Here is a 27,911-nt window from a genome sequence, read left to right as displayed (position 1 = left end):
CTGTGACAGGCTAAATTTTTAAATCTTTTGCAGAGATGAGGTCTTCCTATGTTACCCAGGCTTGTCTCAAACTCTTGGCCTCAAGCAAGCCTCACACTTCAGCATCCCAAAATGTTGGGATTACAGGTGTGAGCCACCCTGCCCTGCTGGGTTTTTTTTGTTTTGTTTTGTTTTATATATATATACTTGCATAGTATTAACTAGAACATGGTAAACTATTTCCAAGAATGAAGGAAACATGAAAGACTTCAGAGAGAAGAGTTCAAAGACCTCAGGTTGAAAGAGTTCACAGGATAGATAATAAAATCTTACATTTAAATACAGTATAGTAAAATCGAAGAACCTCAAAGACAAAGGTAAAATTTACCAGTTCTGCTCAATTTCTTTTAAATTTTCATGATCTATACATTCATTTGGTAGAGTTGTTTAGTGTATTTTCTTTGCTTTACTCTCAGAAGAGTGTAAATAATCTACAGATAGCAGCCATTGTAGACCTATTCTTTATTTAATGGTAATCTCTTGGGTGGTTTGTGAAAGTGGTAATCTCTGGATGGTTTGTGATGTTGGCATTGTTTTGAGTTAGATATTCTTTCTCATGTCTAGGAGGTAGAACCCTGTTTTTGGTTTTATAAGACTTCTTATTTTTCATTATAATTAGATGTTAATTTTAATCATATACTTTCTAAAGCAAACGAAGCCTGCATATTGTAAATTAATAATACTGTTTGAAAGTACTATTTGTACTGATTGCTTATGATGAAAAACTTTTAACCCATACCCTCCAATTTATTAGTAAATATATGTCTTAAATTCTCTTATAATAAAAGACCAAGCCTCTTAGTCTGTCATTTCCCTTTAAGCCTAATTGAAATTTGATAGTTCTCATGTTTATTTGTTAAAAGTAATGAAAATAAAAAAACCCCAGTAGCCTCAGTCTAATCCAATGTTTTAAACAACCCGTTTAGGCTTTCTGCCTTTCTGGTGTGGATATAAGCCCTTATTCTTCCTGACTTTCTTTTTTTCTTGCTGTTTTCTAGCAATGCTGCAGGCTTACTTGCCTACCTTTCTACCTTCAGCCTTTGCTATATGCTATGGCCTATCTTTTGTTGGATGGCAATGGGCTCAAAGCTGGAGTTCTCTCAAGTGCTTGTAGCCTCCTCAATATTGTGCCCAGGAAAGGGCCTCTGTGACTTTGGATGTCTGTTTGTTGAGTACAGAGTTCAATGTGTACACATTAATTCAATTCTATTAATTATATCATTTAGGTATTTTATAAAATTCTTTACATAGATTGTGGACTATATATATTTAGTCTCTACTTCATATCTTTTAACCCTTGTTTAATGTTTTCTCTTCTTTATGCCTCTGTACTTCATTCTATACCATTTATAAAAATACATAAAAATATATAAGTATTCGTATACCTCACTTTTCTAACCATTGTTGTTGATCTCTCTCACTTATGGTGCTTGTTTTTGTTGTTTTGTTTTGATTGAGAATTGCTAATTTTCCTTGAATTTTTGAGGGGAGAGAAGGGAGGAGAATTTGCTTGGGATCTGTGATACAGGTGCGTTTCTTAAGAGAGGATTTGTGTTTGCTTTTGCCAGATTTCTGGTTACAGTACCAACCCAGGACCATTCTAGTTCAGTCATTGTGTTTTTTTCATTTCAGAATTTCTGTTTGTTTCTTTTTTATGGTTTCCACCTCTTTGTTGAACTTCTGATTTTGTTCCATGTATTGTTTTCCTGATTTTGTTTAATTGTCTTCCTGTAACTCTCTTATAACTCACTGAGCTTCTTTAAGATGACCATTTGGAATTCTTTGTCAGGCAGTTTATAAATCTCTATTTCTTTAGGTTTGGTTACTTGTGCTTTATGTTTTTCCTTTGGTGGTGTCATGTTTCCCTGATTGTTTGTGATCCTTGTGGCCATGCATTGGTATCTGCACATTTGAAGAAGTAGTCTCTTATTTCAGTCTTTACAGACGGGCTTAGGCAGGGAAAGCCCTTCATCAGAGATTCACACAGGCTGCTTACTGTGATCCTTCAGCAGGCTTGCCACTGGAGTCCTTGGGCAGGCTGGCCCAGTGTCAGAGTCAGCAGGTGTGTGGACAGGACATGGCATCTGGGTCTGCAGGGTTGAGCCTGGAGTCTGGGTCCACTGGGGTGGGCTTCGAACTAGGGTCTGATGGGACGTGCCTGGATAAGACGGCTATATGGGTGGGTGTGGGACCTAAGACTATCAGGGCAGGCCTGGAGCCTATATCTGCAGGGACTAGCCTGATTTTTGGGTCCATGGGCCAGCCTAGTGCTGGGGGTGGGCCTTAGTCCTTGGTTTGTGGAGGCCAGCATACAGCCTGGATCTACAAGTATGTTCTTGGAGTTTTGGTCCATGAAGACTGGCCTGGTGCTGGGGTCTATTGGAATGGGCTTGGACCCTGGACCCAGGACCCACTGGAGCCTTGGACTAGCCTGGTGTTGGGGCAAGTATGAAGTCTAGGTCTGCAAGGGCTGGTTTGGATTTGGGTCCACAGGTATTAGACTGGTGCCTAGAGTTAAGGGGGCTGGCCTGGAGCCTGGGGCAATTAACAACAATAATTGTTGTTTCAGATTAACAGACAATTGACAACAATCATTATTGTTCCAGATGAAGTTGAAAATCAATTAAATTCCTTCAAAGTTCCTTTGATATTCTCATTGAAAAAACACCGTGTTTATCTATTGCTTTGGGAAGATAGACTTCTTTATGCTATTTGAGCCTTCCTATCTAGGAGGGTAGTATTTTCCTCATTCACTTGGGGCCTCATTTTATGCTTGTTTGTACATTTGCTTAATTTTCTTTATACCTTTACATACCTTTTTCTGGTGGATTTTTTTTTTTGAGATGGTGTCTTGCTCTGTTGCCCAGGCTGGAGTGCAATGGCATGATCTCCACTCACTGCAACCTCCGCCTCCTGGGTTCAAGTGATTCTCCTGCCTCAGCCTCCTGAGTAGCTGGGATTACAGGCATGCACCACCATGCCCAGCTAATTTTTTTTATTTTTAGTAGAGACAGGGTTTCACCATGTTGGCCAGGCTGGTCTCGAACCCTTGACCTCAGGCAATCTGCCTGCCTCAGCCTCCTGAAGTGTTGGGATTACAGGCGTGAGCCACCATGCCCAGCAGTTGAATTTTTTTAGTTGCCATTTTTGTGAATGAGGTTATATTTTTTATTTCATTTCTAACTAGTTATGAGTAGTTGGGAAGAAAAAATACTGATTTGTAAATATTTATGGAGTTTTAAAAGTGATAGCTCTTAAATTTTTGCAGTTTCAATCATATCTTAGGTAAATGTTGTCTTTTCTTCAATTTTTTCCTCATTTATTTGTTATATTTCCTCCATTCTGTAGCCTGTACAAAATAGTACTTAGTAATACAGACAGTAAGCATACTTATCTTGTTCCTGGCTTTAGTCAGAACGCTTTTAAATTTTAGAATTTAACACAAAGTTTACTACTAATTTCTGATAAATAGTGTTTAAAATATTTAAGAAATATTCTTTTATTTTTATTTTACCAAACATTTTTATAATGGATACAGAATTCTATTAAATATTTTGTATCTATTGAAAAAACTCAATCACCACCAGCCATTTGGCTTTTATTTTTGATTTATCGATGTAACATACTATGTTTCCAGTTTTTGAATGCTGAAGCACCTTATTAATGCAAGAAGGCATCCAATTTAGTTATTTTACAACATTTTAAAGTATGCTGCTTGATTGTATATGCTAATTTTTAAAGAACTTTGGCTACTTATTATTATTCTTTGGATATTTATTCTTAGAAATGTGGTCATTTTGCATCACAGGACATAAACAAGTAACTAAAACAAGGCCGCAGAAAAGATGAAAATATATTATCCTGCAAAAACAAGGAGTCCCAAAGTACAACGATTCCAGAGAAGCTGTGAAGAAGTTGAAACTAAGTTCTTTTGCTTAAAGGTGACTGGTCCTTTCTGCCAGAAAAATTCAAAAAATATTTTTTATTTCTTTTTAGGTCCAGTGACTCTACTAGGATGCCTCTTTGTTGATAATCTTTTAGTTTTTTGAGGGATATTGTATAACTTTTAAACCTGTAGATTTCATTGACTTTTTAAAAAGTGTTTAAAGTTTTCTTGAATTATGTCTTTGATTTCTTTCTTTTTTTTTTTTTTTTGAGATGGAGCCTCACTTTGTTGCCCAGGCTGGAGTGCAGTGGCATGATCTTGGCTCACTGCAACCTCCATCTCTCGGGTTCAAGTGATTCTCCTACCTCAGTCTCCTGAGTAGCTGGGACTACAGGCATGCGCTACCACACTTGGCTAATTTTTGTATTTTTAATAGAGATAGGGTTTCATCATGTTGGCCAGGCTGGTCTTGAACTTCTGACTTCAAGTGATCCACCTACCTTAGCCTCCCAAAGTGCTGGGATTACAAGTGTGAGCCATGATGTCCAGCCTTTCCCCCATTTTTTTAGTAACATGAAATCTATCATCTTTATCTGATTCGTTTATCTCCTTGTTAATTTCCGTCTCATTTTGCTCCCCTTCTATAGTCTTATTTTCTATTCTCTGTATTTGAAGCAGTGTCTAATCTCTTTAGTGCTGCTTTCAATTTTGTTTTCATTTATTTTCCCTCCATTTAATTTCTGACAACTGCCAGCTCATATTGTCTCTTCTTGAACTTATATTACTTTCCTTTGCCTTTTCATATTATTATAAAATGCATTTTTTATATAATCACTAATTTAAAAATGTTTAGTTACAGTTTTCATCTGCTCTGCAGCAACATTTTTCTGCTTCAGAGTTCTTTATCTCCTGCTTAATTTTCCTGTTCCATTCCATGTTTATTTGCTAATTTCAGATAGATTCTTATGTTATTCTTTCCTCACCTAGGACATAGCATGTACCTCCATATAATTTATATCACATTCCCTTTGGACTTTTGTTCTCCTTTAAATAAGATGAGATCTTCCTGGACCAGTTATCTATAGGTGGTACACAGCAGGGAGCAGGCAGGGTCATGCTCCAGGTTGGCAAGAATTCCTGCAACAGAGAGGCTTGTGCAGACAGTGATATAATGGGCTCTAGAGACTCAGAAGGAGGAGGCGACAGGGGAGTCAGGGATAGAAAACTACACATTAGGTGCAGTGTGCACTACTCAGGTGATGGGTGCACTAAAATCTAAACTTACCACTAAATAATTCATTTATGTAACCAAAAACCCACCTGTATGCCAAAAGCTATTGAAATAAAAATGAAAATAAAAAACAAAAAGCAGCAACAAAAAACAGAGAGCTTTGTGTGGTGTTCTTTTACATGTGACCTCTCCCTGGACAATGAACGTAGCTGGTTCATAGGGCTGAGCCTCCTTCCTTCCCTCCCACTTCATCAGGGCACATCCTGCTGCACTTGTTGTCTGCCTATGTGATGGTTTATCCAGCATGACCCTTCCTGCTTCTAGAAACTTCCCATCAATCCAAGTCCAGGGAAATTCCATCAACCAGCCCTCAGGCACTATTAATTTTGCCCTTCAGGATGTGTTTCTTCCTTCTGAGAATGGTGAGTTTCATATTAGAGTCCACTTGGGAAAACAGAACTCCACCAGTTATTTTAGCACAGCAAATTTAATATAATAAATTGATTAAACAGATTCTGGGGCAAAGAAAAAAAAGTGATCACCAAGTTAACCCAGAGATAGTAACTTCAGGAGGCAGCTAACACTTCTAGTACTGAAGCAACAAAGGGGAAAGCTTGGGTTATTAGAACCTGCATTCTCTTATTCAAAGCAGGTCATGAGGCATCCCAGATTTAAATGGTGGGGAAATGAGAAGAGCTACAAATAACGTGTGCCTACTTCTAGTAATGGACCATAATGCTTTGAAACCTAAATACCTTCTTCTCAACACCCCGAAGAGCATAAGCCAGGAACAGGAAATAGGGGATTGGCAATCACCATGTCAGTCTATAAGAGACAGCATTAACATCACTTCTTTGACCACCCACACCCATGCAGAGTAAGAATGTTCAGAGAATGAGACACTGCCACTTTGGAGCAGACGAGTAAGACTAGAAAGATGGGCAATTAATGCCATTTATATCTTTTCTTTCTGGTCAACAATATGAAATAAATAGGTCTTTTAAATTTCCCTTTATAAGTACCATATTCTAGGACTGTTTAACTTGGCTTCAGGGGAACTGAAATAGGCTTTCTGTAAATAACCCAACCTGTTTACTGAGACCATTTTGCAGTAGTGAACACGATGAAGTTCAAGTTCAAGTTCAACTGCAGTTACCGTGTACAGATGCTGCATACAGATGCTGCATAATACTCCATGTTTATCTGGCACTCAATGTGGGTAGGGGAGGTGTGTGTGTATGATTATCATCTCCCATCCAGGTTCTTTAAAAGTCCTTTATTGCCATGAATTCATTGCACTTAAGAGTTTAAGAAGATATTTGAGATGTTCTTGACTTTGCAGCAAGCAACTCTTTGAAAAGACAAGTTCAAGATGTACTGAAATAAACTTAAGCTAATTTTCATGTGTACAAGTGAAGGTTCAATGCAAAACAACAAGTATGACAAAGATTTTGGGGCAAAATTTAAATTAGCCTAACTATTTATGACTGTTTATGTTGAAATGTTTTCAAAGTTTCAATGCATAAGCATGTCAGCTGAAAAGGATACATTTCTACCCATATCTATCCACCCACTCAGATGGAAGAGAAAGCATATTTTTATAACTTAAAAAATCAGTTATTTTTCTCAGGCAAATGCATGGGTGGAATTTTCAAGGCATTTTCCAGTGTTACACCTGCATACTGGAGAATGGAATGAGCCTCTTTGTGTTTCAGGAAGGGGGAAAACACCAATTACTGAATACCTCTTGGCTTTTGCACAATTACACTATTTAGTATGATATATATTTAAATTATACATGCAAGCCAGCATTTAGGCATGTAGCTAATATATATTCCTAACATTATTGCTGAAATAGCAATAGAATGTGATATAAGTTGGTGATGGAAACTTGACCCATCCAGTTTAGATTTCATAATTTGCTGAGTATTGTCTGTGTCTGTATCTCTGAGTATAGAACAGAATTGTGCAAATTGTTGAGAAGTATATAACAAGGACACTTGCTGTTTTGGCCACAATGTAGTAACATTTCATGGTGATCTCAGAAGGGACCTGTTCAAATATCCACAATCTTACCAGCTGAGTTGAGAAAGTATTTGAACATCTCCTCTTGCTGGCCACTGTTCTTAGGGCTTCTTTTGAGCTTTCTCAATATTCTGCATAAAGAACAAAATGCATTGAATGCTACAGACTTCTGAATTACCTTTATCCATTTTCTTTTAAGTATCATTATGTTCTTGAGATGCACAATACTCATTTTTCCCAGGAATATTTTTGTGTATAGTAAACATAAAGCTACTTATTTGTGGGTTTTTTTTTTGTAAGGTATCAAGGTGCAAAGGAAAAAAAATGTGGGCACTGCTGTCAGATGACAACAATTTGGTAACGGCCACTGTTTAGTTCCAAACCTCTATGACCCTGTCTCTGTGTGCATAAGACAATAGCCCCAACTATGCAAGTGGTTGGTAATAATTAGTGATAAGGTATGTACATTTCTTAGCAGATAGTAGGTGTGTTATAAATCATAGATATTGTTATAACTGTACTTTGCACAGTTAGAACATGTCTATGTTTATATCTATAGTTCATCTTTTAGTTATGTACTTTACATTTTTCTTTTACTATTAAACATTTAGTTTATACATTCTACCAGTTTCCATGTTCCATAATGCACACCCGTATTTCTGATCATGGCTTCACCAGCAGCACTTACCTCAGCTGGAGACATGCGCTGGGCTCACTGGGGACTGAGCTCTGAGCTGTCTGCTCTCTATATGGTGTCATGGGGAAAGCATTGCCTTCGGAGGCTGGAGGCTGCTACTTTGCTTTGTGAAATTATCAACTCCAGTTGATAATTTTTACCCTGAGTAGCCCATGTGGTTATATTTGATGAAATATGACCATTTTAAAAATATTATTATTTTTAAAACTATCTTAAATTATTTTTAATACTTTATAAATTATTTTAAATTATTCTGTTTCTATGAGTTTGACTATATATATTTTTAAAATTATAATAAGTATTGGTGAGAATGTGGAGAAATTGGAATCTTTGTGTACTGTTGTGAATGTAAAACAATGCCACTGATATGGTTTGGCTGTGTCCCCACCCAAATCTCAACTTGAATTGTATCTCCCAGAATTCCCATGTGTTGTGGGAGGGACCCGGGGGAGGTAATTGAACCATGAGGAATGGTCTTTCTCATGCTATTCTCATGATAGTGAATTAAGTCTCATGATATCTGATGGATTTATCAGGGGTTTCTGCTTTTGCTTCTTGCCCATTTTCTTTTGCTGCTGCCTTGTAAGAAGTGCCTTTCACCTACCACCATGATTCTGAGGCCTCCCCAGCCATGTGGAACTGTAAGTCCAATTAAACCTCTTTTTTTCCCAGTCTCGGGTATGTATTCTTCCCAGTCTCAGGTATGTATCAGCAGCGTGAAAATAGCCACTACTGTGGAAACGTTACTGTTTTAGATATCTCATTCAAGTGGAATCATACTATATCCTTCTGTAGCTAGCTTATTTCACTTAGGATAATGTCCTCAAGATTCATCCATGTTGTCGCATATGGTATGATTTTCTTCATTTTTTTAAAGGCTGAATAGTATTACATTGTTATGGACTGAATTTTTATGTCCTCAACCCCCTGCAAAATTCACATGTTGAACCCTGATCCCTAATGTGATAGTATTAGAAGGTAGGGCCTTTGGGACGTGGTTAGGTCATGAGGGTGGAGCACTTAGAAACTGGGATTAGTACCCTTATGAGAAGAGGCCAGAGAACTTCCTCTGCCTCTCTCTCCTCTCCACTGTGTGAGGCTGCAACAAGAATACAGCCATCTACAACCAAAAAGTGGGACCTCAATAAACACTGGATCTGCCACCACCTTGGTCTTGGACTTCCCAGCCTCCCTAACAATGAGAAATAAATGTTTGTTATTTAAGCCACTCAGTCCATGTTAATTTATTACAGCAGCTTGAACTAAGACATCCATTACATATATATGGATCTATTACATCCATTACACACACACACACACACACACACATATACAAGCATACCTCAAAGATGTTGTCAATTTAGTTCTGGACCACCACAGTAAAGCAAATATCACAATAAAGCAAGTCACACAAATGTTTTGGTTTCTCAGTGCATATAAAAGTTGTTTACCCTACACTGTCATCTTTTAAGTATGCAATAGAGTTATGTCTACGAAAAGTACATACCTTAATTTAAAAATATTTTATTGATAAAAGATTCTAAAGGTCTTCTGAGTCTTCAGTGATTTGTAATCTTTATGGTAATGGAGATCTATGCCTTCATGTCGACGGCTGCTGACTGATCGGGATGATGGCCACTGAAGGTTGGGTTGGCTGTGACAATTTCTTAAAATAACACAACAATGAAGTTTGCCACATTGATTGACTCTTCCTTTCACGAAGAGTTTTCTGTAGTATGTGATGATTTTTGATAGCATTTTACCCACAATAGAATTTGTTTCAAAATTGGAGTCAGTTCTCTCAAACTCTGTCACTGCTTTCTCAAGTAAGTTAATGTGATATTCTAAATCCTTTGTTGTCATTTCAACAATGTTCATAGCCTCCTCACCAGGAGTAGATTCCATTTAAAGAAATCATTTTCTTTACTCATCCATAAGAAGCAACTCCTCGTCCATTCAAGTTTTACCGTGAGATTGCACTAATTCAGTCACAGCTTCAGGCTCTACTTCCACTTCTAGTTCTCTTGCTATTTTAACTACATCTGCAATTACTTCTTCCACTGAAATCTTCATCCCTAAAAGATATTCAAGATGGTTGGAATCAGCTTTTCCCAAACTCCTGTTAATGTTGCTATTTTGACCTTCTCTCATGAATCACAAATGTTCTTTTTTAAAAAAACTTTTAAATTCAGGGGTACTGTGCAGGTTTGTTATATAGGTAAACTTGTGTCATGGGTATATGTTGTACAGATTATTTTGTCAGCCAGGTATTAAGCCTAGTACCGTTAGTTATTTTTCCTGATCCTCTCCCTCCTTATACCCTAATGACATTTGAATGATGAATTCTTTCCAGAAGGTTTTAAATTTACTTTGCCCAGATCCATCAGAGGAATCACTATCTATGGCTGGTATAGCCTTATGATATGTATCTCTTAAAAAATCAAAATTATTCCTTGATCTGTGGGCTGCAGAATAGATGCTGTGTTGGCAGGCATGGAAACAACGTTAATCTCCTTGTACATCTCCATTAGAACTCTTGGGGGACAGGTACACTGTTACTGAGGTGCACGGTCAGTATTTTGAAAATAATCTTTTTTTTTTTTCTGAGCAGTAGGTCTCAACAGTGAGCTCAAAATATTCAGTAAACCATGCTGTAAAGAGATGTGCTGTCATCCAGGTTTTGTTGTTCCACTTACAGAGCATAGGCAGAGTAGATTTAGCATAATTCTTAAGAGCCCTAATATTTTTAGAATGGTAAATGAGATTGGCTTCAACTTAAAGGCAATTAGCCCCTAACAAGAGAGTCGGTCTGTCCTTTGAAGCTTTGAAGCCAGGTATTGACCTCTTCTCTCCATCTATGAAAGTCCTAGATGGCATCTTCTTCCAAAATAAGGCTGTTTTGTGTAACCACCTTCATCAGTGATCTTAGCTAGATCTTCTGGATAACTTGCTGCAGCTTCTACATCAGCACTTGCTGCTTTACCTTGCATTTTTGTGGAGGTGGCTTCTTTCCTTAACCCTCATGAACCAACAGCTGCTAGCTTTAAAGTTCCCCTATGCAGCTTCTTCACCTCTCTCAGCCTTCATAGAGCTGAAAAGACTTAGGCTTTGGCTTAAGGAAATAGTTTATCTGATTTGATCTATGCAGATCACTAAGACTTTCTTCAGATCAGCAATAAGTCTGTTTTGCTTTCTTATTCCTGGGATCACTGGAGTAGCACTTTTAACTTTCTTCAAGAACTTTTCCTTTGCATTCACAACTTGGCGAGCTATTTGGCACAAAATGCCAAGCTCTTGGCCTGTATTGACTTTCAACATGCCTTCCTCACTAAGCTTAATCATTTGTAGCTTTTGATTTAAAGTGAGAGATGTGTGACTCTTCCTTTCACTTAAACACTTAGAGGTCATTGTAGGGTTATGAATTGACCTAATTTCAATCTTGTGTCTCAGAGAATAGGGAGGCCCAAGGAGAGGGAGAGAGATGAGAGAACAGCCTATTGTTGAAACAGTCAGAAAACACACAACATTTATCAATTGAGTTTGCCATCTTATATGGGTGAGACTTGTGGCATTCCAAAACAATTGCAATAGTAACACTGATCACTGATCACAGATCACTATAACTGACATAATAATAATAAAAAAGTTTGAAATATTATAAGAAATACCTACATGTGACACAGATTCAAGAAGTGATCATATGCCTTTGGAATATGACGCCCATAGACTTGCTAGATTCAGGGTTGCCACAGACTTTCAATTTGAAAAAAAAAAATGCAATGTCTGTGAAGTACAATAAAGTGAAGCACAATAAAACATGGTATTTTCTTTATCCATTCATCCAATGATGAACGATTAAATTGTTTCCACATCTTGGCTATTGTGAATAATTCTGCAATGAACATGAGAGTGCAGATATCTCTTCAACATACTAATTTTACTTTATTTTTTATATACCCAGAAATGGGGTTGCTGGATCATCTGGTAGTTTTCTTTTTAACTTTTTAGAAACCCCCATACTGTTCTCCATAGCAGTGGCATTGTTTTACACTCCCAACAGTGCACAAGGATTCCAATTTCTCCACATTCTCGCCAATACTTATTATAATTTTTTTAAAAATTGTAGTCAAATTCATAGAAACAGAGAATAGAATGGTGGTTGCAGAGGCTGGTGGAGGAGGATGTGGGAAGTTGTTCACCAAGTATAAGTTTGCAAGATGAATAATAATAATTCCTAGAGATCTACTGTTCAACATAGTACCTATTCCTTTTTTGTTTGTTTGTTTGTTTTTGAGATGGAGTCTTGCTCTGTTGCCCAGGCTAGAGTGCAGTGGCACGATCTTGGCTCACAGCAACCTCTGCCCCGTAGGTTCAAGCAATTCTTCTGCCTCAGCCTCCCTAGTAGCTGGGATTACAGGTGCCCACCACCATGCCTGGCTAATTTTTGTATTTTTAGTAGAGACAAGGTTTTTCCACGTTGGCAGGCTGGTCTCGAACTCCTGACCTCATGTGGTCTGCCTGCCTCAGCCTCCCAAAGTGCTGGGATTGCAGGTGTGAGCCACCACACCCAGCCAGTACTTATTCTTAACAATATTGTATTGTGCACCTACAAATTTAAGAAAGCAGATCTCATGTTAAGTGTTTTTACCATCATAAAAAGTTATTACATTAATTAATTTTAAATTATTTAAAAATGTTATTAGAACATTTCTCAAAAACCCATGGAATGTACAACACCAAGAGTGAACTTTAATGTAAATTATGAACTTTGGGTGTTAATGATATGTCAATTAACCCCAGGACTACTAGGTCCCAGGCTCTGGGCACTCCTCCACTTCTTTATCTTCGAGTGCTCACAGCATAGTTGTGGAACCTCTCATTTCAAACTGCACTCATCCCCTTGATAATTTCGTGCACTGTTGTGGCTTCAAATTCCAAATTTAAATCTTCAGTCCTGATTACCCCTCTGAACTACAGACTAGGAAATCTTATTCCCTGCACGCCCCCCCATCCCCACTTGGGTGCCTAGTAGACATATCTGACTTAAGCAAAGTGAACTGATGATCTGTGGCCCCCTCTCCCAGCCCTGCGGAACCCTCATTCTTCCTCCTATCAGTAATGGCAACTCTGCCTTTCCAGTGCACAGACCAAAACACGGAGTCATCTTTGACTCCCTCTTCCTTGTCTCACACCCCACATCCAGCCCATCAAGAATTCCTGTTGAGTCTGTCTTAAAAGTAGACCGGGAATCCACTCCTTTTGCATCACTTCCACTGCTCACCAGTCTGGTTCAAGCCACTCTTGTCTCTCATCTGGAGAGTTGCCATCACCTCCTAAGTGACTGCTCTTCTTCTGCTCTTGCTGTCTTAGATGTTGGTCGGAACATATCATTCTTCTACTCAAAACCCACCTCACACAGAGTGAAAGAAAAGTCTTTACAATCATCTACAAAGACCCTACGAGATCAACCTACCCATCTCCCCAAAACTGCACTTACCCTCCAACCTCATCTCCTACCAGGACCGCCTTACTCACACTGCTCCAGCCATGCTCGTTTTTTTGTTGTTGTTATTGTTCTGTTTCTGAAATATGTCAGACATGCTTCTGTGCAGGGCTTTTGCTGTCTCCTCTCCCTCTTTCTGTGTTCCCCTTACCCCAGATATTCACATCTGGCCTCAGATATTCATGCGGTCAACTAATTCCCTCAAGAATGTGTTCAAGGCTGGGCAAGGTGGCTCACATCTGTAATCCCAGCACTTTGGGAGGCCGAGGCGGGCAGATCATGAGGTCAAGAGTTTGAGACCAGCTTGGCCAACATGGTGAAACCCCATCTCTACTAAAAATACAAAGAGCTGGGCATGGTGGCGCATGCTTATAGTCCCAGCTACTTGAGAGGCTGAGACAGCAGGATCGCTTGAACCCGGGAGGCGGAGGTTGCAGTGAGCTGAGATCCTGCCACTACACTCCAGCCTGGGTGACAGAGGGAGACTCCGTCTCAAAAAATAATAATAATAAAAAATTAAAAATAAAAAAATAAATTAAAAAAAAGAATGCATTCAAATGTTCCCTTCTCAATGAGGCTTTCCTGGGTCACATTATTTATTTAATTGGCAGCCCCAAGGTTTATCTTCCCTCATCATTTCATTTTTCTTCAAAGTATTGATGCCTTTTTAGAATATAGTTATTCGTTGTGTTTATTGTCTCTCTCCCCCAGCTAGAAGGTAAGGCATGAAACTTGTGAGTGTACATGATTTTCACCCCTGCAGCTGTATCCCCCGGTGCCTAGAACACATGGTAGGCACTCCACCCATACATGAATGGATGGATTAGTGAATGAAAGCATATATTCCCTCTGAAGTGATAGTTCTTCCTCATGCAAATGAGGAATAAGTATTTAACTGCTCTTGAAGACCTTTCCAAAGCTAAAAAAAAAAATTAAGCCAGAATCTCTAAAAGGATTATTGCTGTAAATATAGCCAACGTATTATGCTGCAGCTTGAAATGTAAAATAAACACTATTTTAATCAGAACGAAAGCGACTTATTTGCACTAAACTCTCACTTACCTAGATGCTGAAGGGTAACTGAAAGGGCACCTGCCCTCTGTAGAACCCGAAAGGCAAGAGAAGTCTTATTTTCGAGTCAACGTCTTGATTATGTCAATTTGTCATCCTTCTGCTTTTATTACTCACTGAATGAAAAATGAACTGAAATATTTAGCTTTATAATTCCTTGCACTGAGGAAGTTTTAAAATTTAGTAAGAAATGTGTCTTGATTTTTTAAAGCTCTCCATATGTATAGAGTTGAATTCAGATTGGAAGGAATTTCAATGATGCTATTAAGAATTGGTAAGCAATGTGATCTGGTGGAAAGGAATTTTTGTTTGCTTTTTTTGGGGTTTTTCCCCTTCTGCCTTTGCCAATAATTTGCAATGAAATTTCAAGGGACTCTCATTACTTTTCTGTTTTCAGGTTGAAAAATATGAAGAAGAAAAATTACTACTCTTTTATAACAATATTGTCATGTTTTATAAACTAACGTCAGTTAAGGTAAAAGTACTTTAAAATCTGAGGAAGAATTCACAATGTATTTATTTTTATTTTTTAGAAACGGGGTCTCATTCTGTCACCTAGCTCATGGCAGCCTTGAACTCGTGGGCTCAAGGAATCCTTCTGCCTCATCTTCCCAAGTAGCTAGGACTATAGGCACATGCAACCACACCCAACTAATTTTTTTTACCTTTTTGTAGAGACTGGATCTCGCTATGTTGCCCAGGCTGGTCTTGAACTCCTAGCCTCAGGAAATCCTTCTGCCTTAGCCACCCAAAGAGCTGGAATTACAGGCATGAGCCACTGTGCTTGGCCAAATTCATAGTTTAAGTTTAAAGTGCTATTATATATTCACCATGTGAATGGAAAGGTACTTTTGCGGTCTAATATTATGAACACAATGATCAAAGACTTCCGCAGGGAACGTCTCCACCATGTGCCATCCTTGTCCACAGGGAGGCCTGAATCCATCTCCAAATTTGTACAGTTTACAAAATTTTGTTATACAAATGCAAGGTATATTATTATTATTTTCTTATAGTAAGAGAAGTTTAATTAAAAGTTTTGAAAATACGGAAAGCCGCAATTTGCTTTTTTTCACATACTACTTATAATGTCTGAACTGTTCATCTACTATAGCAACCATTCTTTTGACTAAATGCACTTTCTCTTTTTTGTTTTAAATTTTTTACTTTAAGTTCTGGGATACATGTGCTGAACGTGCAGGTTTGTTACATAGGTGTCCATGTGCCATGGTGGTTTGCTGCACCTATCAACCTATCATCTAGGTTTTAAACCCTGCATGCGTTAGGTATTTGTCCTCATGCTCTCCCTCCCCTTTCCCCCCATCCCACTCCCTATGTCCATCTGTTCTCATTGTTCAACTCCTACTTATGAGTGAGAACATGCAGTGTTTGGTTTTCTGTTCCTGTGCTAGTTTGCTGAGGATGATGGTTTCCAGCTTCATCCATGTCCCTGCATGAACTCATTCTTTTTTATGGCTGCATAGTACTCCATGGTGTATATGTGCCACATTTTCTTTATCCAGTCTATCATTGATGGGCATTTCAGGTGGTTTCAAATCTTTGCTATTGTAAATAGTGCTGCAATAAACATATATGTACATATGTCTTTATAGTAGAACAATATTATAATATTATATTATTAAATTAAATTATTCTTTTCTACGTTAGAAGAACTCCTTGATAGAAAATGGACCTCAAAATTTACACAACACTTTATGTTATATTAATATCTTTCATGCTTGAGAGAATCAAGAGCAATAAAGAATCTGTTGGCCTAAATTTTGGGAAGGCATTTTTAACTGTAAGTAATTTGCACAGATGTAAGATCCTATCATAATGCAATTCTGTAAAGCAGGCATGACATATTCCCACATCTTACACAAGGATATTGAGGGCTCACAAGGTTGAGATGTGTGCGAGGTCACATAGCTGGCAAGTGGAATAGTGGAGATTCTAAATCGGGCCCCTTGACTCCTCCCCCATTCTCTTCCCATTATTCTTGAAAGGTGGTTCAGGTGTCAGGAGTGGGGCATATTCACAGTACTATTTTTTATTTTTATTTTTTGAGATAAAGTCTCACTTTGTCGCCCAGACTGGAGTGCAGTGGCACTATCTTGGCTCACTGCAACCTCCACCTCCCAGGTTCAAGCAATTCTCCTGCCTCAGCCTCCCAAGTAGCTGGGATTACAGGCCTGTGCCACCACACCCGACTAATTTTTGTGTTTTTAGTAGAGACGGGGTTTTACCATGTTGGCCAGGCTGGTTTCAAACTCCTGACCTCAGGTAATCTGCCCACCTTGGCCTCCCAAAGTGCTGGGATTACAGGCGTGAGCCACCATGCCCAGCCTTACAGTTCTATTTATATTGATAAAATATTATCCTGTTTTTTTCTATCAGAAATTTAAATATTTCAAAAAGAAAATCTGAAAAAAATTAACATTTGGTGTTCTTGAAAAATCACCTTTTCATGCCCTTCAAGAGAAATGAACATAGATCTTATACAGATGCACAAATTCCAACGGAAATGGTTTAAAATATCTTGTGATTGTAAGTGTTATTAGAAAGTACGATTATATAACTGTACTATATTGTTTCGCCCCCTCTGCTGGGTCTCCTCCATTCCCTTTGAATTTCTTTCACTGAAATTTGATGCCATCAGCTTAATTAAGAGACATTACATGGTTTAGCCCTGTGGAAAAAAAAAAAAAAGAAAGTACGATTATATTCTAAGATTTCTGAAACCATGTATCTTCAAATCCCCCATTATCTGGTAAGCAATAGGCACTCAATAAATGTTTTTGAATGTACAAATGAATAAGTGCAAGTATTTCTGTATTCATTATTTGCATAAATGTATCTTTTCCATGTGCTAACCTATATTGTTAGTTATCTTTGCTTGAGTGCCTATCTGACCTTCCTAACTAGATTTTCATTTTTGAGGCCAAGAACACTGTCCTGTTCTTGGTGTTTCCATCCTTGGGGAGCATTGTGCACACAGCATGTTTATAGTGAACATTGACTTGAAATGGAAAGAGAGATGAGTATCTGTTTCTGACCCTTCCTAGGCACTTCCTCGGATGCTGTCAGCCTCCTCACTACCTTTAGGACTCTTTGCAGCTTGTTTTCTCTCACAGCAGCCATGTCCACCAGCTCAGCTGGGGCTCCACCAGCAGCCCCAACATTGCAGGCTTCCCAGGGGTGGACCACATGCTGCCTCCCCTGTGTTTATCCCCTCCTGCCTCCAAGGCCTGGGAGGTGGAAGGACCCACGTGGTACCAAAGTCCAGTGCAGGTGGTTAACATTCTTGGGCCAAACCTTGATAGATAGGAGCTAGGAGCTATGGATGCATTCTTCTCCTTCTCTCCCCTTCCCATTTGGAGACTGTAGTTCATGGGGTTTTCAGAAGATGCTTCTGTGAGATGAAGCTGTCCGTTCTGACAGCATCCTCTCAGAAAAGCTCTCCACCTTCCTTTCTTCGTGCTCTCTTTCCATCCTCTTAATTCCCTAGGAGTGTATTTCCTAATAAAGTGGCTGCTCAAATGTTTTGATCTCAGCCTCTGCTTTCTAGGGAACCCTGGCCAGGACACTATTTTGAGCAGTGCTGACAGTGGCTCCCTTTGCTTTTGTGGGGTAAGGGAGTGGGAGGCAGCTTGTGATGGATTTCTGGGGTGCTGACTCCTGGCAGCCTTCTCTCCTCCTTCCCCTGGAAACTGGTCCCCTCTCACAAGCCCATCTCAGGGGCTTCTGCTTTCTTCTATGGTCCTACGTCTCAGGCCCCTGCAAAATGGGTCATGTACCTAATTTGAGCTGTTGACTCTTAGTCCTGCTCCCACCCCCATGGCACTTGATTGGTCTTGGGTTGGCCCAAGCCAAGTCCTTCCTGTTATTTTGTTTTGTTTGTTTTATTTAGTTCTGAGGAGAGCAGTCCCTTTCTCCTGTGGCAGAAGCATGAGATGTAAAATCAGGGAGCTTGTTTCATGAGGTAGAGGAAGCTGGTTAGTAGTGAGAGCGAAGGAAGGCAACACACAGAGGAGAAGGAAATGAGAGGCGGAGGAAACATGAAAGGTACTGACTGGTACAAACCCCAGTTGTCCTTTGTGATGATGAAGGCATAGTCCCTAGGCCAAACATTGGTGATTGTCCCACTTCCTATTTTCTTTGCTACTAGAATCCATATTTTATTCAGGGCAGAAATGAGCCATTATGACAATCCTGCTTTCCTTTTTCAGGCACACAGTTTTCCAGAGTCATATGACCCTTTTCTATCCAATAAAAAATGTCCTGGAAAGCTCTCCTTTCATGATAAGATTGGCATAAGAGGAGAGTTACCTGGTGCTGCTTCTTTCCCTGTCTGAAACATGGATGAGATGGCTGGAGCCACAGCAGCCACCCTGCAACAGAAGGCCACCAGCATGAAGGTGTGTCTCAGCAAGCCTGGGCTATGATAACAAGGTGCCAGAGCCTGGGGGGCTTACAAAATACAGAAATTTATTTCTCACAGTTCTGGAAGCTGGAAGCCTGAGATCAGAGTGCCAGAATGGCTGGGTTCTGGTGAGGGCCCACTTCTGGGTTCCACACTGCTGACTTCTCATTTTATTCTCATATGGCAGAAGCAGGGTGACAGAATTCTTGGGGGTACCTTTTACAAGACTACTAATCTCATTCACAAGGGCTCCACTCCCTCATGACTTAATTACCTCCCAAAGGTCCCACCTCCTATACCGTCACCTAGGGGGTTAGGATTTCAACACAGGAATTTTGGGGGTACAGAAACATTCCGCCCATAATAGAGTGAAAAGCCAGTACTTTAAGGATGTTGGACTAGAAAGAAGAAATAACCATGATCTTTCATGATGTGGTTGAGCTGTGGAACCAACTCTGAGATAACTTAATATTCAAACTTCTGATTAAGTAGGCAACATGTAGTTTTAATTAGGTGTTCTTTCTTCCTGGCAGTTGAATCTATCTTAACAGAATATAATAGAGTAGAAAAAACCTAGAATTTGTCCTCTGGCTGCTAGAGATGTAGAAGTTGTTCTGGGATCCAAAGACACAGTGAAGAGAGTTGGGAGAAAGGTCCAGAGACGTCATGGTAGGCTGGGATCTGGTGGTGGTGTTGGTGGTGACGGTGATGATAATGAGGGTGGTGGTGATGATGGTGCGGTGGGTGGTGATGGTGATCCTGCTGGTAGTGGTGACGGTGGTGGTGCTGGGGCTGACAGTGGTGATGTGTTTATTATGGCTCAATGGGTTCACCAAAGTGATCTGGCTCAAAATTAAAGTGCTGGCTTTAAATGAGTGACTGAACATAAGAGCCCAAACGCTGGGTCTCAATATTTTTACAGGTTTTAGAAATGGATAGAAAATCAAATAATCAGCAAAGGAATCGTAATAACAAAAGTACTTTTTTTTTTTTTGAGACGGAGTTTCACTCTTCTCACACAGGATGGAGTGCAGCAGTGGTGCTATCTTGGCTCACTGCAACCTCCGCCTCCCTGGTTCAAGCAATTCTCCAGCCTCAGCCTCCCAAGTAGCTGGGATTACAGGCATGCACCACCATGCCCAGCTAATTTTGTATTTTTAGTAGAGATGGGGTTTTATCATGTTGGCCAGGCTGGTCTCAAACTCCTGACCTCAGGTAATCCACCCACCTTGGCCTCCCAAAGTGTTGAGATTACAGGCGTGAGCCACCGTGCCCAGGCACAAAAGTACTTTTAAATGACTTTCTTTTAATTTAGGAAATTGGGTGAATTAACTGGAGGTCCCAGAATAACGAAGATCTGTTTTGTGTTGGACACCAGTGGGCTGGTTTTCTTATACCCCCATTCTTTGTTATTCTTTCTCTCTCTTGCCTCCTTTTATTTACTCACTCTGCTTTTCTTTCTCTTTATCAAGTAATGAGAAATAAACTGATGTCAATAAAATTTGCCCCCATCTCACCTCCTTGATCAATATGTGTTCCATCCCGGTGAGAGAGTCTTGTGGGTTTTAGCTGGGAAGGCCCCCACCTCAGTCTGTTCTCACAAGTTCCATTCTCCTGTGCTTCAGCTGAGGTATTAATATTATTTGAGCTTACACAGGCTGAGAAGTAGCTATTATCTCAATATGACAGTAAAACAGTTGATTACTTCCTGAAGTACCTCTTTAAATCAAGAATCCCCCTAATAAAACCTTTTAAAAATTCTTTTAAATTATAGAATCTGAACCAACCAGTCTCTATACTCCATGGAGCCCTCTCCTAGGCTTAATCCTGAAAAGCCCCCTTTCTCCCTGAATGGCAGGAGATCGGAGAATGCAGACGCAGTGACTGTGGCCAAGGTGTCTGTGAGAAGCCAAGGACCTGCCTCAAACTTGGCCACCAGTCGCATGACCCGGGATAGATTGCTGGTTGTCTCTCTGTGCCTGCTTCCTACCTAGAGCTCAACGTAGCAAAAATGCCTTCATTACATCAAATAGCAAAAAGCTATGAGAGGGAAGGTGCTTATGGAAGTTCCATGTCTGATTGTTCTATTTTGATTATATTTTGTTTTAATCATTTAAACTAAAAAACTAAGACAAACTGTTTATAGTTGGCCAGAGTGGAAATTCACAGGCTTTTCCATCATTGTTGTGTCAAACATTTCCATCTGATAGTGCTTTAATAATGCATATTCTGGCCGGGCACGGTGGCTCAAACCTGTAATCCCAGCACTTTGGGAGTCCAAGGCAGGCAGATCACGAGGTCAGTAGTTCAAGACCATCCTGGCCAACATGGCGAAACCCTGTCCCTATTAAAAGTACAAAAATTAGCCAGGCGTGGTGGCAGGCACCTGTAGTTCCAGCTACTCGGGAGGCTGAGGCAGGAGAACTGCCTGAATCCCGGAGGCGGAGGTTGCAGTGAGCCAAGATCGTGCCATGCACTCCAGCCTGGGTGACAAGAGCAATACTCCATCTCAAAAAAAAAAAAAAAAAAAAAAGCATATTTTTTCTCTGTCTTTAGGCCTGATGGCTTTTGCCATTTTGAGTGCTACATTTAGAATCTAGCTCCCACGCCCGCAGATTTCCCATGGAGGAGCCTGCTCATGTCACTGTGGAGGGGTGTCTTCAATTTGAGACGATTTCATCTGATTGTGGTTGGCAGAAAAAAGCAGAATTTGATTCTTGCTGAAGGGATTTTTACTGGTTCACACTGAAATGTTAATTCTGCCTAAACCATTAATTTATAAAACCTTTCAGTGTACTTTAAACTCTTCTTTTGGAGGTAAAGTCATCCTGCCACCTCCTTTCAGTTTTTCAGAGCTAGGTGAACTGTTATCATTGGCAAGATAATGTAGACTCCCTTGAGCGTATTTGGTATTTTTTCTTTATGGGTGCTATGGTCTGAATTTTTGTGTCTCCCTTCTAAAATTTATATGTTAAAATCCTAACCCCCATCCTAAATTTATATGTTGAAAACCTAACTCCCAAGGTGATGGGATTAGGAGATGGGGCCTTTGGAGGGCGATTAAAATCACGGGGGTGGAGCCCTCATGAATAGGATTAGTGCCCTTACGAAAGAGAGCCTGTCTACCATTTTCACCATGTGGGGACACAGAGGGAAGGTGCCATCTATAAATCAGGAAGGAGGCCCTCACCAGACACTGACTGCCAGTCCCTTGATCCCAGACTTCCCCACCTCCAGGACTGTGAGGAATAAATTCCTGTTGTTTATAAGCCACCTAGTTTATGTTATTTTGCTCTAGTAGCCTGAATGGACTAAGACAGTGAGGATGATGCATGCAAATGTAATCCTTCCTTATCTAGTGTAAAATATTCTCTACAGCATCTACCTTAGCTAGAATATTTGAAAATGAGAAATGAAATATTCATAATATAAAGCCTACAGCCCTGAATTTTAAAATATTTTGGCATATTTTGGGAACTTAACCAATGAGATGAATTTGCTGAAAATCAGCATTTCAGTGTTTATTGAGTCCATGGGAAGGGAAGCCCCTCCACTTATTCCATCATCCGCTGGAACGCATGCTCCATACAGCAAGGGCAGGGCATGCCTGGTTAGCCAAAATTGTATCTGGCACTTGGATGACTCCCCCTTAAAGTGGCTAAGCTTTTCTCAATTCTGGGACAAAATCCCTGTCCTATGACCACACTACACATAGACCACATATGTGCTGGGAAGTAAAATTTTAATGGCTCTAAAATTGTTCAGGAGGTTGGAAAAGGAAAAGAACGTTAATCAAACAATATTCTCTTTACTTATAGAAACTAGTGTTGGAGGAACCTGGGCCCAAACATAGGTCCTCCCATGGTGTTAAAGGTAGAGACCAGATGAATGAGTCCTTAGTCTGACAGATCACCGCAGTGAATTTCAGAGTGTGGAAAGGCAGGCCTGGTGCTTAGTTTAGGGTCCACTGCGGTGCAAAGCTTATCTGAGGCAGAGGATGAACTAGTGACTTTGGATGTCAGCAGCCAGCAGGTAGTGAGAGAGAAAAGGGCACCCGAGAGGGAAAGTGGCTTGAAAGATGGCAACAAATTGGGCCCAAAGGGTCAAAATTGGCTAACAAAAATGTCAGGGGATGGCAATGGCTTTTGAGGATAGTTATGTCTAATAACATTTTATTGCACCGCTAATTCATTCAGCAGACCTTTATTGAGTATGTATTATTTGTCAGGCCCTGTGTTAGGCACAAGGAATACAACAGCTAGTTACAAAAAGAAAAATCCAATATTCCTACTTTCCTGGGGCTTACTTTCTAGAGGGGAGCAGGATATTAACTAAATAAGCACACTTGGATTTTAAGTTATGATTAGGATCTGAAAAGAAATGAACAATGTGAGGACCTTCTCTAGGCTGGGGAAAAGGGAAGGGGAGAGCAAGGCAGGGATCTTCTGAGGAAGTGACTCTTGAGCCCAGGAGCTCAGGTATCTCCCTGAGCTCTTTGGGAATCCACATTCCCAAATGTGGATTCACCTCTTCACGTGGAATGAAATGGTTCCGACAAGATTAGCAGGACACAATAAACAAAGCATTCCTTGAAATATATTTGTTTGTCCTCACCAAGCAAAGATTTCCAGTGGACTTTTAGTAGGTTTCCTAATATTCCTTCTTGCACTAACACACAGCGTTGTGGTGCCAAGCCTCTGCTCTGCTGGTTCCTCCACTTGGAAGCCCTCTGGTAGACATTTCTATCACATGTCCGGCTCTTTACTGTTTTCCGAGGTCCAGTTAAAACACAATCCCTTAATTCAGACAGCTTTCCTGACTGGTCTCAAGAGAAGCACTCTCTCCTGCTCTGAACCCTGTCCTGTTTTGCTGGTTTTTCACGTACGTCACCTAACATTTCCTGCCTCACATCAGACTCATTTGTGTACACTCAGCTCCTTGCTGCCTGGAATGTAGCCTCCCTGATGGAGAAGCCGTGCTCTCTGGGTATCTCCCGCAAGTTCTGGTGTCATGATTTATACACATCATTGTGGGTGCTCAGAAGTTATTTCTAGAAGGATTTCCTTGGAGTTTAGGTCATGGATGAAGAAAAGACCATAATGGGAGAGGCTCTTAGAGCTTCTAACTTCTATCTCAGACTGGCTCCATGCTCAGACGATTTGGTCTCCGTTCTTCATTGGTAGGGAACATTAGGCCATTAGGCAAAGGAAGGGACCTGCTATGTGTGTTTTTCTTTCTTTCTTTCTTTTCTTTCTTTTCTTTCTTTCTTTCCTTCCTTCCTTCCTTCCTTCCTTCCTTCCTTTCTTTCTTTCTTTCTTTCTTTCTTTCTTTCTTTCTTTCTTTCTTTCTTTCTTTCTTTCTTTCTTTCTTTCTTTCTTTCTTTCTTTTCTTTCTTTTCTTTCTTTTCTTTCTTTCACTCCTGAGCCCAGGGATGAAGAATGAGCAGGAGTTGTATATGCAAGACATGGGGAAGAGAACATTTCAGAGAGAGGCAACAAGAAAGAGCAGCAGGCACCAGCGAGAGCAGAGTGAACAAGGAGGATGGCACCAACTGAACCTATTGGGCTACCCAGAGATGAGATCACAGAGGGCCTTGTAATTTTTGCTAACCAATTTTTTATTTTACTGTAAGTGAAATGGAAACTTCTGAAAGCTTTTCGATAAGGAAAGGGCATGGCCCCATTTGAGTTCCTAAAGACTAACTCTGCCTGCTTTTTGGAGAATAGATTGAAAGGGGATAGGAATAGGATTGGAAAGACCAGCATGATGGTTAATTTTATGTGTCCACTTGACTGGGCTAAGGAATAGCCAGATAGCTGGTAGTATATCATTTGGGGGTGTACCAGTGAGGGTGTTTCCAGAAGAGATTAGCATTTGAATCCACAGACGGAGCAACAAAGATTTGTTCTCACCAATGTGGATGGGCATCATCCAACCCATTCAGAGCCTGAACAAAACAAAAACACATTCCAAATCACTCTTTTTTTGAGGTGAGACATCCAGCTTCTTCTGTCCTCAGAAACAAGAGATCCTGGTTTGGGGGCCTTCAGATTCAGACTGGGGCTTACACCACTGACTCTCCTGCTTCTCAGGACTTGGGCTTAAATTGGAACTGCACCACCAGCTTTCCTGGTTCTCTAATTTGCAAATGGCAGATCGTGGGACTTCTCAACCCCCATAATAGCATGATCCAAACTTTTACAATAAATCTCTCTCTCTCTCTCTCTCTCTCTCTCTCTCTATATATATATATATATATATATATATATATATATCCTATTGATTATACTCTTATTGACTTTATATATATATATCCTCTCTGTATATATATAGAGAGAGAGAGATATCTCTCTCTATATATATGTATATCCTATTGATTATACTCCTATTGATTTTATATATATATAATCCTCTATGTCTCTCTATATATGTAGAAATAGATAAACATCTCCTCTCTCTCTCTCTCCATATATATATATATATATATACATACACACACATGCACACACACAAAGAGAGAGACATATAGATAGATAGATAGACAGATGGATATAGCGAGAGACATATATACATCTTCTATTGATTCTGTTTCTCTGGAAGACCCTAACTAATACAACCAGGTGAAGGATGACTGCAGAAGTCCAGGCAAGAATCATGACAGCATGGATGGAGGTGTTGCTGTAGAAATGGAGAGAAGGCTTAGGGCTACACATATGTTTAGGCATGACCAACTAGAAGTGAGTCAGAATAGAAGTGAGTCAGGAACTTCATAAGTTCCTGCAGCATCTCCTCTACAGAATTTGGCTGAGGAGGTATGCAGTACATTCATTGCTAGCATGCTAATTAGAGGAGAGACACCAGGCATCAGTCTGGTCATCCAAATAGTGAGTAAGGAAATAAGCTCCTTCCTTTTGGATAAGCCATTGTTCATGGGAACCATTGCCCTCATGATTATTTCTTTTCAGAACAGGTGCACACAGACAATGCCTTTTATTTTGTTGGTAGATCCCTTTCTATTGGCACTGCTTCCAACTGCTCTGTTAGCCTGGCTTACCTTTTGCCTTACACCTTTTCATGAGCCACCCATCTTTGAGTGCCATTTTCCATGCCAGCATATGTATGCCTATTTTCCCAGCAGCCCCCAGTGTGGCCCCCTTCCTCCTCACCATGTGTCAGGGTTCCCTTGCTGTATCTATTCTGAGAAGTCTGAAAAATTCTACGGTTAGAGTTTGGAGTTAAAAGGAAGGAGAAGATAGAGCGAGGCTGTGAAAATACCCTGCTAATAGTAGCAGAAATGTACATGAAAAACACTTACCGAGAGATGCCTTTTATAGCATCTACATTATTATACTAACAGAAGTAAATTGTATTTTGATTGTGGCCGGTTGAAAACCACATCCTCCATGTATGAAGTATATAATCAGCTTAATCAGTTGCTGATCCCAGGACAATTTCATCCCAGTGTATTGGGAGAGTGCAAATAACATAGAGTTTATTCCATTCTTCTTAGTAATTTAAATGTCACTTTGTTAAATGAACTCGAAGACAGATTTGCATTACTTGAATTCAGGGTTTCCAATAATAATGTAACACTTTTCCTTCTCCCAATACCAAAGCAATGGCTTAATATAAAAAGCAAGTGGTTAAATTCAAAACATTTTCCCACATGAGTGTCTTTTACTGCTATAATTTTTTTTTTGTTTTTGGTGTCAAATTTATTTTTAAAATCTTGCTAAAGATGCCAGTTATTAGGCGATTGTCTGTCAACTTCAAACCCACTTCTGTGTGGTTTTGTGTTGCTGGGGCTGGGACTCTGCAAACCACACTTTACCTTTCCAGTGGCTTCTCTGATCAACTCTGCCAATAGGCGGTGCTAGAGGGAAGTTGTGCTTTGGAGGTGGAAAGGGGGACCTGGCTCCTTCCTGTTTCCTTCCAGTTTGCTTCCTGTTCCTGCAGTGTCACTCCAGCCTCATCTCTTCATGCAGACAGCAGCAGTTCATTGCAGTAGTAACAGCCGGACCTAGTTTGCAGCTTTTCCAGCACTCAGAACCAGCTTCATCTCACCCTGTGAGAGATGCCTGCACCAGCCAGCTGGTGTCCCTCCTCAGAAGTCTGCATCCCAGCACTGTGGGGCCTCTTCTTCAAGCTTCTAAGCTTTAATAATCTCTACCTCTAGTCGTAGGGGAGGCAGCTGCTTCCTGCTACCTCTGTGATATCTTAGTGTTCCCTTTTTGCCTTTTCAGTTCCTCAATTTCTAGTTAACGGGTCTTTATGCTAAAAGGTCTCTGTTAAAATAGCTGGTGTGGCTTCAGTATCTTGGCTGGACACTAAATGATATACGAGGTACCATGAAGCCACTATGAATGACTGACACCTGTGTGACTTTCCAGCCTCTCTGAGAATTCTGAGCTGCATTAAACAAGACTTAGTGTTGCTGGGCTGTAAATGCCCCAGTTTCACGGTGATGAAGACCCACTATAGCCTAGTGCAATTGATACTGCTGAAAACCTCTGGTCCTGCCAAACATTGTTTTATGCAAAAGCCCATGCAATAGAGACATTTGGAGAAACAAGAGAAATCGAAGCCATAAAAGTAGCATTTGCCAGTTTTTCCAGCTGATGTCCACTGAGAATTCTTTATAGGAGATTAGAAGGATTTCTTTCCCTAAAGAGAGCTGATAAAATAAAAGAATTTTAAGTTCTGAGCTTGCATGCCTGTAGCTCAAAGCTGTCATTAGACTTCTTGTGGCCAGGGTGACAGTATGGTAGTCAGGGAACTACCCTCAGCTGTAAAGTCCTTTTATTCTTCATTTGCAAACACTCTGACAACAAAATGCTGAAAAGGAGCTTATAACAAAACCATGTAGGAGATAGCATGCCTGTGGGGTCAGAAGCCAGCGTTTCTGTTCCTGTAAGGCGGGTGATCTGGGGGAGTTATGTTCCAGCTTCCTCATCTCAAAAAACACAACGATAATTCCTGCCCTGGATAGCTCTTTTGAGAATTAAACAAAATAATATTTGCAATGAAGTGAGCCAG

The 27,911-nt window shown here is 40.1% G+C and overlaps 1 long non-coding RNA gene across 1 annotated transcript in view, besides 1 other annotated feature; it reads left to right on the top strand.

The window, feature by feature from the left end:
- Positions 1-27,911, top strand: part of MRPS9-AS2 (MRPS9 antisense RNA 2) — a 102,256-nt gene that overhangs the window by 34,711 nt on the left and 39,634 nt on the right. The window lies entirely within an intron of this gene.
- Positions 26,621-26,915: an enhancer, noted in NCBI's record as "tiled region #1600; HepG2 Activating non-DNase unmatched - State 13:Ctcf, and K562 Activating DNase unmatched - State 12:CtcfO". NCBI's record gives its function as "activates a minimal TATA promoter and a strong SV40 promoter by Sharpr-MPRA in HepG2 and K562 cells {active_cell/tissue: HepG2 | K562}" and the evidence as "EXISTENCE:reporter gene assay evidence [ECO:0000049][PMID:27701403]".

This window comes from Homo sapiens, chromosome 2 (genome assembly GCF_000001405.40).
Source record: "Homo sapiens chromosome 2, GRCh38.p14 Primary Assembly".
NCBI classification, from domain to species: Eukaryota; Metazoa; Chordata; class Mammalia; order Primates; family Hominidae; genus Homo; species Homo sapiens.
Note: the sequence above shows the minus strand (reverse complement) of the source record. Positions and strands in the feature narration are given on the sequence as shown.